Source organism: Homo sapiens, chromosome 1, assembly GCF_000001405.40.
Source record: "Homo sapiens chromosome 1, GRCh38.p14 Primary Assembly".
NCBI lineage: Eukaryota > Metazoa > Chordata > Mammalia > Primates > Hominidae > Homo > Homo sapiens.
In genome coordinates this window covers 155,345,793-155,365,370 of record NC_000001.11, presented here as the reverse complement: position 1 = coordinate 155,365,370, position 19,578 = coordinate 155,345,793, and the positions used below count along the sequence as shown (strand labels likewise).

Genomic DNA, 19,578 nt, shown 5'->3' with positions numbered 1-19,578 from the left:
AGCCGGGCATAGTGGCATACACCTGTAGTCCCAGCTACTCAGGAGGCTGAGGCAGGAGAATCGCTTGAACCCAGGAGGTGGAGGTTGCAGTGAGCTGAGATTGTGCCACTGCACTCCAGCCTGAGCGACAAGAGCAAAACTCCATCTCAAAAAAAAACAAAGCTGTCAGTAACTCAAAAGTTTCAGCCAATCAGTGTTGCAGTCTATTTCCTTTGGGTTGTGGGTCTCTTAAGTATCATCCCTTCGTGATCGCCAGAAAGATGCCAGAAAGGGGTTCTGATCCAGACTCCAAGGGAGGGTTCTTGGATCTCGCACAAGAAAGAACACAAGAAAGAATTCAAGGTGAGTCCATAGAATAAAGTGAAAGCAAGTTTATTAAGAAAGTAAAGGAATAAAAGAATGGCTACTCCATAGGCGCAGAGCAGCCTTTTTTTTTTTTTTTTTTTTTAAGACAGAGCTGGAGTACAGTGGTATGATCTTGGCTCACTGCAGCCTCCTCCTCCCAGGTTCAAGCCGTTCACCTGCCTCAGCCTCCTGAGTAGCTGAGACTACAGGCACACACCACCATGCCTGGTTAATTTTTTTGTATTTTTTGTAGAGACAGGGTTGTGCCATGTTGTCCAGGCTGGTCTTGAACTCCTGGGCTCAATAAGTCAGCCCGCTTCAGCCTTCCAAAGTGTTGGGATTGCAAGTGTGAGCCACCATGCCGGGCCTGACAAGCCAGTTTTTAAAATAGGTAAAAGAATGGGTACTTTAAAAAAGAATATCAAAGTGGTCAATAAATATACAACAGCGCTTAATATGTTAGATACAGTTATTAGGGGAAATATTAAACTAAATTGGAAAACCACTACATACCCTCCAAAATGTAAAAAATTAAAGACTGACAGTATTGGCAAAGGTAGAGCAGCATAAATGCTCTTAGATTTGCTGGTAGAAGTGTAAATTGGTATAACCACTTTCAAAAAATGGCACAACCTACCAAAGCTAAACATAACCGGTAAACCAGCAACTCTAATCCTAAGTATGTCCCCAGCGGAAATTAGTGTTTGTGCTAGACTTGTGCAAGAATGTCAACTAGAAGATATCTTTTTCTCCCCTTCTTTTGGAGACAAGGTCTCACTCTGTCACCAGGGTTGAAGTACAGTGGGACGATCTTGACTCACTGCAACCTCAGCTTCCCAAGTAGCTGGGACCACAGGTGCATGCCACCCTGCCCGGCTAATTTTTGTATTTTTTGATAGGGATGGAGTTTTGCCATGTTGCCCAGGCTGGTCTCAAACTCTTGGGCTCAAGCGATCCTCATTGCTCAGTCTCCCAAAGTGCTGGGATTACAGGTATGAGCCACAACACCCGGCCAGAAGATACCTTTTTTTGGTTTTTTGTTTTTGTTTTTTTGAGACAGAGTCTTGCTCTGTCGCCCAGGCTGGAATGCAGTGGCACCATTTTGGCTCACCACAACTTCCGCCTCCTGGGTTCAAGCGATTCTCGTGCCTCAGCCTCCTGAGTAGCTGTAACTAAAGGCATGCGTCCCTACACCCGGCTAATTTTTATATTTTTAGTAGAGACAGTGTTTCGCCATGTTGTCCAGGCTGGTCTCGAACTCCTGGCCTCAAGTGATCTGCCCACCTAGGCCTCCCAAAGTGCTGGGATTACAGGCATGAAGGTAGGTGACAGATCAAGACTCTGTCTCAAAAAAAAAGAAAAGTTACAGTATATATCAGCAAACTTGTTGGCTTTGCACCTATAAAACTATTCACAAAGATGGGAGCAGTGGCCTGTGGAGCAGTTTGCCAACTCCTGGTATACATTTAAAATGCTTTCTGCAGCCAGGCTCCGTGGGTCATGCCTGTAATCGCAGCACTTTGGGAGGCCGAGGCAAGCAGATCATCTGAGCTCAGGAGTTTGAGACCAGCCTGGGCAACATGGCTAAACCCTGTCTTTACTAAAAATACAAAAATTAGCTAGTCGTGGTGGCGAGGTGGGAGGATCACTTCAGCCCAGGAGGCAGAGGTTGCAGGGAGCTGAGATTGCGCCACTGTACTCCAGCCTATACAAGAGTGAGATACTGTTTAAAAATAAAAAATTAGCCAGGCGCGGTGGCTCACGCCTATAATCCCAGCATTTTGGGAGGCCAAGGCAGGCGGATCACGAGAGGTCAGGAGTTCGAGACCAGCCTGACCAACGTGGAGAAATCCCGTCTGTACTAAAAATACAAAATTAGCCAGGCGTGGTGGCATGTGCCTGTAATCCCAGCTACTTGGGAGGCTGAGGCAGGAGAATCGCTTGAACACAGGAGGCGGAGGTTGCAGTGAGCCAAGTTCCCGCCATTACACTCCAGCCTGGGCAACAAGAGCAAAACTCCATTTCAAAAAATAAATAAATAAATAAAAATTTTTAAATGCTTTCTGAATTCAGGATGGAAAAATACTAAAAATTAAAAATTTTAGGCAAGGTTACATGTAATAGGGCAGTATCTAAGCTAACCCTTAATGTGTTCCACATTGGTAAGGAGACAAGAAGAAAAAGGCTGAGTCAAACAGCCTGGGTTTTAATCCCCTGGGTTTGAATGCCACTTAATTGCTATATAACTAAACAAACTCTGAGGCGTATATACTTCATATATAAAATAGATATCATAATGCCTATCTTACAGGATTGGGGTTTTTTCTATAGGATTGTTTTGAGAATTGATGATATAACTTGTTATCAGTATGGCATGGTAGTTAAGATTTTGAAGCCACAATGTCAATTTGAAACTTGATTCCCTAAGTTATCAGCTGTGTAACTTTGGGCAAGTGGCTCCCTGTGTGCCTCAGTTGCCTTATTTGTAGTATGAGGGTTATAATAACTAATAATATTACATATTTTTATATAATTGTTAGGAGGATGAAATAATATAAAATGTTATAAAAAGCATTCAGTAAATGTTAGCTATAATGATAATGACTATATTCTTTTTTTTTTTTTAATATATTAAGATAAGGTCTCACTATGTTGCCCAGGCGAGTCACAAACTCCTGAACACCTAAAACAAAGTCAAGCACGGTGGCTCATGCCTGTAATCTCAGCACTTTGGGAGGCCAAGGCGGGCGGATCACGAGCTCAGGAGATTGAGACCGTACTGGCCAACATGATGAAACCCTGTCTCTACTAAAAATATGAAAAAGTAGCTGGGCGTGGTGGCACGTGCCTATATTCCAGCTACTCAGGAAGCTGAGGTAGGAGAATCTCTTGAACCCGGGAGTTGGAGGTTGCAGTGAGCCGAGATTCTGCCACTGCACTCCAGCCTGGGGACAGAGCAAGACTATGTCTCAAAAACAATAAACAAAAAAACACCTAAAATCCTAAATGATCATTACCTTACATATAATAGAACAAGAGAGGCACTCATGTGATAGAGATTGGTAGAACTGGAAGATTTGTATAGGTAAGCCATAAAAAGTAATTTTAACTCATTTAATAAGTGAACTAAGCCTTTTTTTTTTTTTTTTTTTTGAGACGGAGTCTCGCTCTGTTGCCTAGGCTGGAATGCAGTGGCATGATCTCAGCTCACTGCAACCTCTGCCTCAGGGGTTCAAGTCATTCTCCTGCCTCAGCCTCCCAAGTAGCTGGGATTGCAGACATGCGCCACCACACCTGTCTAGTTTTTGTTTGTTTGTTTTTTGAGATGGAGTCTCGTCCTGTTGCCCAGGCTAGGCTAGAGTGCAGTGGCAGGATCTTGGCTCACCGCAACCTCCGCCTCCCGGGTTCAAGCGATTCTCCTGCCTCAGCCTCCCGAGTAGCTGGGAGTATAGGCACATGCCACCATGCCTGGCTAATTTTTTTTTTTTTTTTTTTTTTTTTTTTTTTGTGAGATGGAGTCTCACTCTGTCACCCAGGCTGGAGTGCAGTGGTGCAATCTTGACTCACTGCAACCTCCGCCTCCCAGGTTCAAGCTATTCTCCTGCCTCAACCTCCTAAGTAGCTGGGATTACAGGTGCACACCACCATGCCCGGCTAATTTTTGTGTTTTTAGTAGAGATGGGGTTTCACCATATTGGTCAGGCTGGTCTCGAACTCCTGACTTCGTGATCTGCCTGCCTCAGCCTCCCAAAGTGCTGATATTACAGGTGTGAGCCACCATACCCGGCCTTAATTTTTGTATTTTTAGTAGAGACGGGGTTTCACTATGTTGGCCTGGCTGGTCTTGAACTCCTGACCTCATGATCTGCCCTCCTCGGCCTCCCAAAATGCTGGGATTACAGGTGTGAGCCACTGCATGTGGCCTCGCCTGGCTAATTTTTATATTTTTAGTAGAGACGGTTTTGCCCTGTTGGCCACGCTGGTCTCAAACTCCCGACCTCAGGTGATCCACCTGCCTCGGACTCCCAAAGTGCTGGGATTACAGGCGTGAGCTACGGCGCCTGGTCTGGTCTTGAACTCTTGGCCTCAGGTGATCCTCCCACCTCAACCTCCCAAAGTGCGGGGAATACAGGCAAGCCATATTTTAGGACTTTGAATACCAAGCAGGAAAAGTTGAAGCCTAATTGACAACATAGAACATGTTTTCAAGAAAAATTATTTAGGATTCTTACTCTGGCAGTATTATACAGGCTGCCAAGGATAGAAAAGAGATTAAAAGTGGAGGCCAGGCGTGGTGGCTCATACCTATAATTCTAGCACTTGGGAGGCCGAGGCGGGCAGATCACCTGAGGTCAGGAGTTCAAGACCAGCCTGGCCAACATGGTGAAACCCCATCTCTACTAAAAATACAAAAATTAGCCAGGCGTGGTGGCTTACACCTGTAGTCCCAGCTACTCAGGAGGCTGAGGCAGGAGAATCGCTTGAATCCGGGAAGCGGAGGTTGCGGTGAGCCAAGATCGCACCACTGCACTCCAGCCTAGGCAACAGAGGGAGACTCCGTCTCAAAAAAAAAAAAAAATTTCCAGCCTTTATAACTCTGTTTTCTCTCTTTACAGGTCTGTTAATGGAGTATACCGGATTGGACTCTATGCTCTTAAAGACATGCCAGCTGGGACTGAACTCACTTATGATTATAACTTTCATTCCTTCAATGTGGAAAAACAGGTAAGAATAATAAATCCTAGAGGGAGATTGAACTTTATCCCTTACAATGCTGTAATAACATGAGCTTTCTGTAAACATGATTGACTTGGAGCCATTAAGAAGTATGTGGGAGGCTGGACACAGTGGTTCACACCTTTAATCCCAGCACTTTGTGAGGCTGATGTGGGCAGATCACTTGAGCTCAGAATTTCAAGACCAGCCTGGCCAACATGACAAAACCCTGTCTATCAAAAATACAAAGATTAGCTGGATGTGGTGGCGCGCACCTGTAATCCCAGTTTATTGGAGGCTAAGGCAGGAGAATTGCTTCAACCTTGGAGGCGGAGGTTGCGTTACGTTGAGCCGAGATTGCACCACTGTGCTCCAGCCTGGGCGACAAAGCAAGACTGACTCTGTCTCAAAAAAAAAAAAAGTATATGGGAGGTCAGGCGCAATGGCTTATTCCTGTAATCCCAGCACTTTGTGAGGCTGAGGCAAGCGGATTACTTGTAGTCTGGGAGTTCAAGACCCGCCTGGGTAACATGGTGCAACCCTGTCTCTACCAAAAAAATGCAAAAACTAGCCAAGTGTGGTCGCATGTGCCTGTGGTCCCAGCTACTTGGGAGGCTGAGGTGGGAAGATTGCTTGAGCCCGGGAGGTGGAGGTTGCAGTGAGCCAGGACCACGCCAATGCACTGCAGCCTGTGGAACAGAGCAAGACCCTGTCTCAAACACAAAAAAAGAAAAAGTCTGGGCATGGTGGCTCGCGCCTGTAATCCCGGCACTTTGGGAGGCCAAGGCAGGCAGATCACAAGGTCGGGAGTTCGAGATTAGCCTGACCAATATAGTGAAACCCTCTCTCTACTAAAAATACAAAAATCAGCTGGGCATGGTGTTACATGCTTGTAGTCCCAGCTACTCAGGAGGCTGAGGCAGGAGAATCGCTTGAACCCAGGAGGTGGAGGTTGCAGAGATCGCGCCAATGCACTCCATCCTGGGCGACAGAGCGAGACTTCAGCTCAAAAAAAGAAAAAAGGGAGAAAAGAAGTACATGGGAGCCTGGGCACAGTAGTGCATACCTACCTACAGTCCCACATACTCAAGAGGCTGAGACAGGAGTATCACTTGAGCCCAGGAGTTCAAGGCCAACCTGGGCCACAGAACGGGACCCCTTCTCTAAAATGTTTAAAGTTTTTTGTTATTAAGACAGGATCTCGTTCTGTGGCCCACACTAGAATGCAGTGATGTGATCATGGCTCACTGCAGCCTTAATCTCCTGGGCTTAAGCAATCTTCCCACCATAACCTTCTGAGTAGCTGGGACCGCAGGCGTGTACCACTGTGCGTCGCTAATTTTTTTTTAAATTTTTTGTAGAGATGGGGTCTCCCTCTTTTGTCAGGGCTGGTCACAGACTCCTGGACTTAAGCGATCCTCCCACCTCAGCCTCCCACAGTGCTGGGACTACAGACCTGAGCCACCATGCCCAGCCAAATTTTTTAATTAAGTGCTTGCTTTGACAGCATATATACTAAAATTGGAATGATACAGAGAAGATTAGCATGGCCCCTGTGCAAGGATGACAAACAGATTACTGAAGCATTTCATGTTTTTTTTTTTTTTTATTAATTTTTTTTTGAGGTGGAGTCTCACTCTGTCTCCCAGGCTAGAGTGCAGTGGCGTGATCTCGGCTTGCTGCAAGCTCCGCCTCCCAGGTTCACGCCATTCTCCTGCCTCAGCCTACCGAGTAGCTGGGACTACAGGTGCCTGTCACCACACCCAGCTAATTTTTTGTATTTTTTTTAGTAGAGACTGGGTTTTACCATGTTAGCCAGGATGGTCTCGATCTGCTGACCTTGTGATCCGCCCGCCTTGGCCTCCCAAAGTGCTGGATTACAGGCATGAGCCACCATGCCTGGCCTTTTTAAAATTTTTTTTTAAAGAAGTATATAGGAGAGGACAGTTTTTTACTCTGTACTCCACCTTTCTGAGATACATAGTGCCCAATTACTTTGAAGAAAGAGATTGCCCTGTGATTTTTGGTCTCCACTCAGTTAACTTTTCTGGGGAAGAAGTTTTCCTAAAATTTAATCCATCATTTCTATTCCAGTGGAAACCCATTTCTATTTATACTCTCAATCAGTTGTTTTCCCCTATATGCAAATTTCTTGATTTATACTTAATGTGTGTCCAAATGCTCAGGAATCCTCTTTAAGCTAGTAAATGAGACTGCAAGCTAAAAAAAAATTATTCTCAGCTGGTCACAGTGGCTCACACCTGTAATCCCAGCACTTTGGGAGGCCAAGGTGGGAGAGTTGCTCGAGCCCTGGAGTTCGAGACCAGCCTGGTCAACATGGCGAAACCCTGTCTCTACACAAAATACAAAAATTAGCCTGGCATAGTGGCACGCACCTGTAATGTCAGCTACTGGGGAGGCTGAGATAGGAGGATCAGTTGAGCCCAGGAGGTTGAGACTGCAGTGAGCCATGATCATACTATTGTACTTCAGCCTGAGTGACAGGAAAGACCCTGCCTTAAAAAAATAAAAATAAAAAAATTATTCTCTCCCTTCAAAGCAACTTTGTAAGTGTGGCTTTGAGAAATGTCGAGGAATCATCGGAGGCAAGAGTCAGCGTGTGAATGGACTCACCAGCAGCAAAAACAGCCAGCCCATGGCCACACACAAAAAATCTGGACGGTCAAAAGAGAAGAGAAAGTCTAAGCACAAGCTGAAGAAAAGGGTGAATAATTATCTAATGACTTTCCCCAAAAGCTGTTCATGAGATGCTTTGAGGCAATTGCTGGAATAAGGGAATTACCAGAGGGTGGCATCTTAAGAGTGGTTTTAATATTCTTGGAGATTATTTCTGACTGATATTTTTTTAAATCTCTAATCTGATCCATCTCTTTTTCAGAGAGGCCATCTCTCTGAGGAACCCAGTGAAAATATCAACACCCCAACTAGATTGACCCCCCAATTACAGATGAAGCCAATGTCCAATCGTGAAAGGTAAAAAGGAAATATCCTTATCCATGTTCTTTGTAAGTTACATGATTGCTTATCTGTGTAAAAAATTATGAAACTTCTATATTGTTGATCCACTTTCTTTTGTCTTAAGCCAAAGGGTTCAGGGGATCTATGAACCTGGATGGAAGAAATACAATCTTTTTTTTTTTTTTTTTTTTTTTTTTAAGTCTTACCCTTTTGTGTGTGTGTGTGTGTGTGTGTGTGTGTGTGTGTGTGTGTAGAGCTGGGATCTTACTCTGTCACCCAGGCTGGAATACAGAGGCCTGGCTCAACTCCTGGGCTTAAGTGATCCCCCTGCATCATCCTCCCAAGTAGCTGGGGCTGCAGGCACATGCCACCACACCTGGCTAATTTTTTTTTTTTAAATTTTTTGTAGAGACAAGGTCTCACTATGTTGCCCAGGTTGGTCCTAAACTCCTGGGCTCAAGCTATCCTCCTGCCCCGATCTCCCAAGGCATTGGGATTACAGATACGAGCCAGCACACCAAACCATCTTATGTTCCCTAATTTCTAAATGAAATAACATTTCCACATATCCCTGTAGACCCATCTACTCAGGAGGCTGAGGCAGGAAAATTACTTGAGCCCAGGAATTCAAGACCATCTTCGGCAACATGGAAAGACCTTGGTTTTTTGTTGTTTTTTTTTTTTTTTTGAGACGGAGTCTCGCTGTGTCGCCCAGGCTGGAGTGCAGTAGTGCAGTGGTGCAATCTCGGCTCACTGCAAGCTCCGCCTCCTGGGTTCACACCATTCTCCTGCCTCAGCCTCCCGAGTAGCTGGGACTACAGGCACGTGCCACCACGCCTGGCTAATTTTTTATACTTTTTAGTAGAGACAGGGTTTCACCATGTTAGCCAGGATGGTCTCGATCTCCTGACCTTGTGATCCACCTGCCTCAGCCTCCCCAAGTGCTGGGATTACAGGCGTGAGCCTCCACACCTGGCCAATAATTTAAATTTTTTGAAGTAATTTAAAAATAATTGTTCAGAGAATGGTTCCATAGGCTTCATCAGACTGTCAAAGGAGTCCGCAGTAGAGAAAAAATTAAGAATACCTGCTTTGGCAGGGCGCAGTGGCTCACACCTGTAATCCTACCACTTTGGGAGGCCAAGGCAGGCGGATCACCTGAGGTCGGGAGTTTGAGGCCAGCCTGGCCAACATGGAGAAACCCTGTCTCTACTAAAAATACAAAATTAGCCAGGCATGGTGGTGCATGCCTGTCATCTCAGCTACTCAGGAGGCTGAGGCAGGAGAATTGCTTGAACCCAGGAGGTGGAGGTTGCAGTGAACCAAGATCACGCCATTGCACTCTAGCCTGGGCAGCAAGAGCAAAACTCCGTCTCAAAAAACAAAAAAAAACAAAAAGCAAAAAAAAAAAAAAACAGAATACCTGCTTTGTTGACATATTAACAGAGCAATAGAAAGGATCTTTAGTGGTAATTTCTGCTGTTCCCTGTATTCAGATAAGAATTGTCTCTTTCAGAAGCAAACAAGTGAGTATGTCCTATTTGTTGAAAGTTTATCTTTATTTATAACCATTGTGTAATTTTAGCCCCTTTCATTCTATTTCCCTTTGAGTTGTAGAAATTTTAAATTTCGGAAAAACCAGTCCAGTGGTTCTCTACTTTGGCTGCCTATTAGCATGGGGAACTTTGAAAAACTCCCAAGGCCCAGGCCACACCCTAGACCACTTAAATGAGAATTTGCAGAGGTAGAACCCAGGTATCAGTAGTTTTTAAAGTCTCCCAGGGGATTCCAATGTGCAGGAACTAGAAAATTAGTCTAATCTTCATTTAAGTGAGAAGTGAGACCCATACCTTGAGATTTATCCAAGATCACATCTATTTACATATGTCCTGTTGTGGAAATTGAATAATGGAATCATCAAAATTGTATAGGATCAGTCAAGATACACATAATTCATTTAAGTTTAGGGAACCAGGGCCAGGCACGGTGGCTCACGCCACCACTGTAATCCCAGCACTTTGGGAGGCCAAGGCGGGTGGATCACCTGATGTCAGGAGTTCAAGACCAGCCTGGCCAACATGGGGAAACCCCGTCTCTACTAAAAATACAAAAATTAGCTGGGCGTGGTGGCAGGCACCTATAACCCCAGCTATTCAGGAGGCTGAGAGAATCGCTTGAACCCGGGAAGCAGAGGTTGCAGTGAGCTGAGATCATGCCACTGTACTCCAGCCTAGGCAACAGAGGGAGACGTCGACTCAAAAAAAAAGTAGTAAGTTTAGGGAACCATATGGCAGCACTGCACCTAACATAGTTTGCCCAGTGCGTATCCATCTTACGTGTCTTTGCCTTCATTTGCCAGTCCAGTTCTCCTTGTTATAGCTGATCCTGAGACCCTACTTCATCTTGACAACTATATTTAGAATTTGTACAAATAAATCTCTGCCTTCTGGTCAGGCTGTTTCACTTGCCAGCATTTTTGCAGCCTTTAATTGTTGTTTGCCAGATGTATGTAAATATTATGTGTTTTATGTAATGTAAAAAAATTGAAGATACAAAATTGAGTAATGCTTTGCCCATATAATTCTCTTTACAACAGCTCAATTCACGTATATCGTCTAACAATGGCTTCCATAGAGTAGACATGTAATACATGCTTATTTAATTAATGAATAAAGGAAGATTTTTTTTCCTTCCTTGCAGGAACTTTGTGTTAAAGCATCATGTATTCTTGGTCCGAAACTGGGAGAAGATTCGTCAAAAACAGGAGGAAGTAAAGCACACCAGTGATAATATTCACTCAGCATCATTATATACCCGTTGGAATGGGATCTGCCGAGATGATGGGAATATCAAGTCTGGTAAGGCATTTGAAACATTTCTTTTTTTTGAGACAGAGTTTCACTCTTGTTGCCCAGACTGGAGTGCAATGGCATGATCTAGGCTCACTGCAACCTCTGCCTCCTGGGTTCAAGCAATTATCCTGCCTCAGCCTCCTGAGTAGCTGGGATTACAGGCGCCCGCCACCATGCCCGGCTAATTTTTGTATTTTTAGTAGAGAGGGGGTTTTGCCATGTTGGCCAGGCTGGTCTCGAACTCCTGACCTCCTGCCTTGGAATCAAGGTGATTCGCCTGCCTTGGCCTCCCAAAGTGTTGGGATTACAGGCGTAAGCCACCACACTCAGCCGAATTTCTATTAATTTATTTTAGTTGCTTTCCAGCAGATAATCTATTTAACAACTCCTTTTAGTATTGACCAAAAAAGTTATGATCCAAATATGTACACATCAGTCAGTAATAACCTATCCATCCCAGTTCTTCAGCTTTCCTCTCTTTAGGGAATAGAAAGAAACCTCCTACAGCCTTTCAAACATGACCTGTAGTCTGAAATAGTCATTAGGTATCAGATAGATAGTGGGCCCTCTTTGTTACTTCCTACCTTGAAAATAACTTGCAGACAGAGTAAATAGTGATACCAAATCCACTGGGGAAATTGGGGTGGGGGACGGGTAATTATCAGTGGGTGGACAGGTCATTATCAGTTTGAAGACCTTTTTATCTCACATTCAGATTCAGCTGGGGACGGGTCATTTCTCACATTCAGATTCAGTGGGGGACGGGTCATTATCAGTTTGAAGACCTTTTTTTCTCACATTCAGATTAGCACTGTACTCACAAACCATCAGATTTCCTTTCTGTAACCTTCAATAACAGCACTCCTGAGTTCAGATATTATCCAGAAGAGACTGAAAGCAGAGGAACTAGCATGTCCAAGCATCCTTTCTAACTGAAAACAGAGTGTTCAAAAGATCATGCTCTTTTTTTTAATCCTTTCCTTCTTCCCCTCAAAAGGTAGAAGCAATTCTATGTGATGTGTGAGGGATATGCTGAATGCTAACTAGATAGATTTAAAAATTTGCCCATAATCTTACATCCTGTCAATGATTTGATTGGCATAAATTCTTTGAAGTTATATCCTAACTAGTTTACTTCTTCTAATAATAACAGATATCATTTACAGAGTGCTTACATGTCAGGCACTGAGCAAAACACATTAAAAGCATTATCTCATTTAACCTGCATTATTTCCTTATGAGGGAAGTACTACCATTGTTCTCATTTTATGTTTGAGAAGCTGACCCATGGGTTAAATAACTTGCCCAAGATCACACAACTAATAAGCAGTGACACCAGAATTCAGATGCTGATAGATTCATTTTGAAGCCCAGACTTACAACTGCTATACTGTATTGCATTTGAGCACTAAGCTAAGGTCCCTCTTGCAGCATTTTGTCTCCAGTAAATTCCAGTGTTTCCTGATTTTTCATTACAGAAGATAGAAAGAACTCTGTGCCCACTAATCTACCTAATCACTTCAGGGGAAAATAGAGCAAATGGCAGGAATCCATTGGGAAAGAGAAAGACATGTAGAGCTCCTTGTTTCCTGTAACTTAATTTTCACTTTATTTTTCCAGATGTCTTCATGACCCAGTTCTCTGCCCTGCAGACAGCTCGATCTGTTCGAACAAGACGGTTGGCAGCTGCAGAGGAAAATATTGAAGTGGCTCGGGCAGCCCGCCTAGCCCAGATCTTCAAAGAAATTTGTGATGGTATCATCTCTTATAAAGGTGACTATAACCACCTTCAAATTCGTTCTTTTTTTCTTTTTCTTTTTCTTTTTTTTTTAAATAAATAGAGATAGGGTCTTGCTATATTGCCCAGGCTAGTCTCAGACTCCTGGGCTCAAGTGATCCTTCTGTCTAGGCCTCCCAAAGTGCTGGGATTACAGGTATGAGCTACTGCTCGTGGGCATTTCTTTTCTTTTTCATTTCTTTTTCTGTCTCCTGATTATCTTTGATATTATAGTGGCTTTTTGCAGTTTTCTTAACCTAAGGATATAAAGAGAAAAATGGGGACCAAACTGCCCTAAGATGTAAGATGTAAAGTTTTGAATTTTGAGGCACCTATTCCATTTACATTCCCAAAATAAATCACACTCTCTGCATTCTGTCTTTTTTTTTTTTTTTTTTTTTTTTGAGATGGAGGTCTCGCTATGTTGCCCAGGCTGGTCTTGAACTCCTGGCCTCAAGCGATCCTTCTGCCTCGACCTCCCAAAGTTCTGGGATTATAAGCATGAGCCACCATGTCTGTCTTGCATTCTCAAGTAGGCTCATCTCACCGAACATGAAACTGCAGTAAGTATGTCTACCATGTCACTGCATTCTGAGCATGAAACACGGGCTCTTTTACTCTGCTAGTGAAATTGCCAGAAATTAAGTATGGTAGCAAATGAGAAGTGGCCCCTCACCGTAAATTCCATTTTCATAATACAGAGTAACTGTTACAGGAAAAATCAATTACAGAAAATATTCACAGTACAGTACTAAATTATTCAATATCTGGAATTTAATTGGATCCATACCCAACAGAGTAATAGTAATTAATTTATTTATTTATTTATTTTATTTTACTTTTTTTTTTTTGAGACAAAGTCTCACTCTGTCACGCAGGCTGGAGTGCAGTGGCATGATCTCGGCTCACTGCAACCTCCACCTCCTGGGTTCCAGCGATTCTCCTGCCTCAGCCTTCTTGAGTAGCTGGGACTACAGGCGCACACCACCACACCTGCCTAAGTTTTGTATTTTTTAGTAGAGACAGTGTTTCACCATATTGGCCAGGCTGGTCTTGAACTCCTGACCTCGTGATCCACCTGCCTCGGCCTCCCAAAGTGATGGGATTACAGGCGTGAGCCAGCATGCCCGGCCTTTATTTTTATTGTTTTAGACAGGGTCTCAGTCTGTCGCCCAGGTTGGAGTTCAGTGGTGCAATCTTGGCTCACCACATCCTCCGCCTCAAGGGTTCAGATGATTCTCCCACCTCAGCCTCCTGAGTAGCTGGGACTCCAGGTGTGCGCCACTATGCCCAGCTAAATTTTGTATTTTTTGGTAGTGAGACGGGGTTTCAACATGTTAGCCAAGCCGTTTTCGAACTCCTGACCTCAAGTTCTCTGCCCACCTCAGCCTCCCAAAGTGCTGGGATTACAGGCGTGAGCCACTGTGCCCCGCCAAACTAATTTTTTTTTTTTTTTTGAGACAGAGTCTCATTCTGTTGCCCAGGCTGGAGTGCAGTGGCACAATCTTGGCTCACTGCAACCTCTGCCTCCCAGGTTCAAGCAATTCTCCTGCCTCAGCCTCCCAAGTAGCTGGGATTGCAGGCGTGTGCCACCACGGCCAGCTAATTTTGTGTGTGTGTGTGTTTTTAGTAGAGACAGGGTTTCACCATGTTGGCCAGGATGGTCTCAATCTCTTGACCTCGTGATCTGCCCACCTCAGCCTCCCAAAGTGCTGGGATTATAGGCGTGTGCCATCGCGCCCGGTCTTTTTTTTTTTCTTTTTCTTTTTCTTTTTTTTTTTAGGACGGAGTCCTGTTCTGTCGCCCAGGCTGGAGTGCAGTGGCACAATCTCTGTTCACTGCAACCTCCGCCTCCCGGCTTCAAGCAACTCTCCTGCCTCAGCCTGCCGAGTAGCTGGGACTACAGGTGCATGCCACCACGCCCGGCTAATTTTTTTATTTATAGCAGAGATGGAGTTTCCCCATGTTAGCCAGGATGGTCTTGATCTCCTGACCTCATGATCTGCCCGCCTTGACCTCTCAAAGTGCTGGGATTACAGGTGTGAGCCACCGCACCCATTCCCAGCCAAACAAATTACTATTAATTAAGGGCAGTTAATGAGAACTAGAAAGCACTTTTTGGATAAGATATTCTTTTTGCTATTATAAGATTTGTTGAGTAGTAATTTGCCCTAAGCAGATTACCCTCAATAAGTTCCCATCTCTCATTCTTCACAGGAAGTTCTTCTCATTACCCAACTAACATTGTGCTACCTTTCAAGCAGATGCAACTATATCTTTCATATCCTAGACAATCTTAGAATTGTCATTTGATCCCTGCCTTTATCTACATATCTGAAAAAGTGGCTTTTTCACAGGCCTTAAAAAGACTTGGATTTTTGGCCAGGCGCAGTGGCTCATGCCTGTAATCCCAGCACTTTGGGAGGCCGAGGCAGGTGAATCACCTGAGGGTCAGGAGTTCGAGACTATCCTGGCCAACATGGTGAAACCCTGTCTCTATTAAAAATACAAAAATTGGCCGGACACGGTGGCTCACGCCTGTAATCCCAGCACTTTGGGAGGCTGAGGCGGGCAGATCACGAGGTCAGATCGAGACCAGCCTGGCTAACATGGTGAAACCTCGTCTCTACTAAAAATACAAAAAATTAGCCGGGCATGGTGGCGGGTACCTGTAGTCCCAGCTACTCGGGAGGCTGAGGCAGGAGAATGGCATGAACCCGGGAGGTGGAGCTTGCAGTGAGCAAAGATCACGCCACTGCACTCCAGCCTGGGCAACAGAGCGAAACTCTTGTCTCAAAAAAAAAAAAAAAAAAAAAAGTAGCTTGGCGTGGTGGTACACGCCTGTAGTCCCAGCTGCTCGGGAGGCTGAGGCAGGAGAATCGCTTGAACTCAGGAGGTGGAGGTTGCAGTGAGCTGAGATCATGCCATTGCACACCAGCCTGGGCGACAAGAGTGAGACTCTGTCTCAAAAAAAAAAAAAAAAAAAAAAAAAGACTTGGATTTTTCTCTCACTTTTAATTTGAGGGATTCTATTCTTCCAGTTAGGAGATGCTTGCCTCCCTTGTATGGTGGAATCTTTCTACTAAACCTCACATTCTTTTGCAGATTCTTCCCGGCAAGCACTGGCAGCTCCACTTTTGAACCTTCCCCCAAAGAAAAAGTAGGTTCACATTTGTGGGAATCATCTGAGTTTTTAAAAAGTGCTAAGTGTGCCAGATTGACACCCTGGCTTTGTGTTCCAGGAATGCTGATTATTATGAGAAGATCTCTGATCCCCTAGATCTTATCACCATAGAGAAGCAGATCCTCACTGGTTACTATAAGACAGTGGAAGCTTTTGATGCTGACATGCTCAAAGTCTTTCGGAATGCTGAGGTATTTTTCACTGACTTCAAACAGATTTCACAAGTTTGTTCTGAAAAGAATTAGTCTAGAAGTTTAAGATTTTTACCCTCCTCTATCAGCCATATTTCTGGTTGGAAAAGCCAGTCATTTTTGAGTATCCTTGGGGTATGTGTTACAGTATACTAAATATTATAGAAGGCTATCTATGAAGACATTGATAGGACTAGAATGGAAGGTTAAATCATTCCCCCCCAAAAAAATAATTTTTGTAAAAAACTAATTTAGTATTAAACCTTTATGACTGCGTTATATAGATATTTTAATACATTTAACTAATATCTGTAGTTTCTTTCCTCAAGAAAATAAGTACATGTGAAATATACAGAAATATGCATAGGTAAATGTTTATATGTGTGTGTGTGTGTGTGTGTGTGTGTGTGTGTGTATATATATATATTTTTTTTTTTTTTTTAAATGAGACAGAATCTTGCTCTGTCACCCAGGCTGGAGCGCAATAGCGTGATCTCAGCTCACTGCAACCTCCACCTCCCGGGTTCAAGCGATTCTCCTGCCTCAGCCTCCTGAGTAGCTGGGATTATAGGCGCCTGCCACCATGCCTGGCTAATTTTGTATTTTTAGTAGAGACAGGGTTTCACCATGTTGGCCAGGCTGGTCTTGAACTCCTGACCTCAGGTGATCTGCCTGCCTTGGCCTCCCAGAGTGTTGGGATTACAGGCGTGAGCCACGGCTCCTGGCCAGTAATATATCTTGAGGATGGAATTGAGGAGTATCACAGTGATAGATTATGGAATAGCTGAAGCTCATTGGAGAGAAAGTGGCCTTGAACTGATTTAAAGGACAGGATGGACTATTGTATGGTGCATAGAAGAGAGGAAATTATTCAGTAATTTTGACATGCCTTGGAGAGGTGTTTGGAAGACAAAAGATCCTACTAGATAAAGGAATAATAGAAGTTGAAAGACAAAATGAGAAAGAAAAATAGACAAGCGGGAGAAGAGTTAGAGCAATCTTAAATTGTAACATTCTTCCTACTGAAACCCAGCTTCCACATAGATTCAACACCTGTAGATCTGTCACAGATATCCACAAGACAAAGGTGTATGTTGAACTTCTACAGTACATTATGCTTGTGATATCAATTCATATTTCATGATCTCTGTGTATTTGATCTGGGGACAAGAAGGCCCGTGACAGGAATTGAATGACAGATCAGTTGAGCAAATGGAAAAATAACATGCAGATTCTAACTTGAATTCATTTTAGTTCAGTTTAAGTTGTTACCAACTATCTGGCCATATATTTGATACTATTGAAAATCTGTTAACCAAAATGGGAGGGTAAAGAAAGTCATGCTACCTTGCTACCTCTTTAGGTAAATTGTTAAGCCACATTGAGAGAACCAAACATGATTTCTTTATTTGCTTTCTTCAGAAGTACTATGGGCGTAAATCCCCAGTTGGGAGAGATGTTTGTCGTCTACGAAAGGCCTATTACAATGCCCGGCATGAGGCATCAGCCCAGATTGATGAGATTGTGGGAGAGACAGCAAGTGAGGCAGACAGCAGTGAGACCTCAGTCTCTGAAAAGGAGAATGGGCATGAGAAGGACGACGATGTTATTCGCTGTATCTGTGGCCTCTACAAGGATGAAGGTCTCATGATCCAGTGTGACAAGTGCATGGTGAGGGTCAGGAAATGAAGCAGAAGCTTGGTCCTGATGAACACGGTGACCATATTCAAAGAAGAAGCCCATGCCTCTTTTGGATTGGCTTGAAAGACTGTTTATGAACTGTAACTTAGCCTTGGTTTCTGTTAGGTTTCTGTGTTTACTATATTGCCTTTCTCCTTTTATCTTTCTTTCACTTTATCCTTCCCTTCTTTTTCTTTCCTTCTCTCCTCTCTTCTTGTTTTTTTGTTTTGTTTTGTTTATAAGATAGGATCTTGCTCTGTCATCCACACTGGAGTGTGGTGGCACGATCTCAGCTCTCTGCAACCTCTGCCTCCCAGGCTCAAGCAATCCTCCCACCTCAGCCTCTCGAGTAGCTGGGATTATAGGCATGTGCCACGTGCCACCATGCCCGGCTAATTTTTTGTACTTTTTGTAGAGATGGGGTGTCACCATGTTGCCCAGGCTGGTCTTGAACTCCTGAGCTCAAGTGATCTGCCCACCTCGGCCTCCCAGAGCGTTGGGATTACAGGCATGAGCCACCACGCCTGGCTCTTTCCTTCTTTCTGCCCACTTTCCACTGTACACTTCTCACATAATCTGGATCAAGGAAAATGACAGTATTTCATATAGTGCTTTGCCTTTTGAATCATTAGTGATAATACACTCTATTAATTGAATCCTCTGATAGAGTGAAATATGTTAATACATGTAGGGCTCCTGATGAAGAAGTCAAAGCCTGGATTTGAGCCTTAGTGTCCCCACTAATATATGTGAATGCATAACTTTATGTGTAAAGTGGCTGTAAGTAACGCACAGGATTGTTGGGAGGCTAAAGTTAGACAGGAGTAAATAAAACATTTTGTAGCTGTATTCTGAAAGCAGAATAGCTGTAGCATTTACTTAAATTACTTAGTAATAGTTCAGTAGTCTATTTGTTTTCCTATTCTCTGTCCATCTCCCCATTTTATTTGCCCAGATCTATAGATTATGAGTCAATCGGTATACTTTTGCTTAGAACAGTCATTATTTTGTTTTCCTCCTATTTTACCATTTATCTCTAATTTATCATTCACCCAGTTATCCCTTAGTTCCTCTTTTACTTTACCCTGACCTATTGCTAATTTTTTATTCTGGGCTCCCAGGACACTCTCAATAAGTCATAGCCTCCATGTTCCCCAAACTGTATGTTTTTCTACAGGTATGGCAGCACTGTGATTGTATGGGAGTGAACTCAGATGTGGAGCACTACCTTTGTGAGCAGTGTGACCCAAGGCCTGTGGACAGGGTAAGCTGAACCTCTGATAAAACTCTGATCTATAAGTAGGAGAGGTAGCACATGGTATCTCACCTGTCCTGCTCCTGCTTTGCAGAATTTCCTTTAATAGGTTGTTCAGCCTCTCTGGGCCTTGGTTTCTTAAACTTTACATTAAGGGTCATAATTCTGTTCTTCCCTATTTCAGGAGTATGACCAAAGGGAAAATAAAATACTTAGAAATCTGTGGAAGGAATGGCACTATATAAAACTAAGGTTTTTGGCCGGGCACGGTCGCTCATGCCTGTAATCCTAGCACACTGGGAGGCTAAGGCGGATGGATTGCCTGAGCTCAGGAGTTCGAGACCAGCCTGGGCAACACGGTGAAACCCCATCTCTACTAAAATACAAAAAAAATTAGCCGGGCATGGAGGCGTGCACCTGAAGTCTCAGGTACTTGGGTGGCTGAGGCAAGAGAACTGCTAGAACCCGGGAGGCAGATGTTGCAGTAAGCCAAGATCATGCCAGTGCACTCCAGCCTGGGCGACAGAGCAAGACCCCATCTCTTAGAAAAAAAAAAAAAAAAAGGCCGGGTGCAGTGGATCATGAGGTCAGGAGTTTGA

General features: G+C 43.9%; 1 protein-coding gene, 1 non-coding gene and 1 pseudogene across 14 annotated transcripts in view; all 3 read left to right on the top strand.

The window, feature by feature from the left end:
- The window catches only part of ASH1L (ASH1 like histone lysine methyltransferase), a 227,935-nt gene that overhangs the window by 197,832 nt on the left and 10,525 nt on the right, over positions 1–19,578 (top strand). For 12 of the 13 annotated variants that reach the window (XM_047425248.1, XM_017001785.2, XM_006711450.4 and 9 more), the window contains 9 exons: positions 4,962–5,070; positions 7,622–7,786; positions 7,961–8,055; positions 10,741–10,898; positions 12,513–12,665; positions 15,775–15,829; positions 15,912–16,044; positions 17,467–17,715; positions 18,902–18,988. In XM_047425248.1, the coding sequence (XP_047281204.1) occupies positions 4,962–5,070; positions 7,622–7,786; positions 7,961–8,055; positions 10,741–10,898; positions 12,513–12,665; positions 15,775–15,829; positions 15,912–16,044; positions 17,467–17,715; positions 18,902–18,988 (1,204 nt within the window). Of the gene's footprint in view, positions 1–4,961; positions 5,071–7,621; positions 7,787–7,960; positions 8,056–10,740; positions 10,899–12,512; positions 12,666–15,774; positions 15,830–15,911; positions 16,045–17,466; positions 17,716–18,901; positions 18,989–19,163; positions 19,283–19,578 lie in introns of those variants that run through there. The other variant, XM_017001786.3, reaches the window with a different exon arrangement.
- RNU6-106P (RNA, U6 small nuclear 106, pseudogene) lies at positions 6,553–6,658 on the top strand (annotated as a pseudogene).
- Positions 18,926–19,021, top strand: MIR555 (microRNA 555). Its single transcript, NR_030282.1, has one exon. It is a non-coding gene; the product is annotated as a microRNA 555 (primary transcript).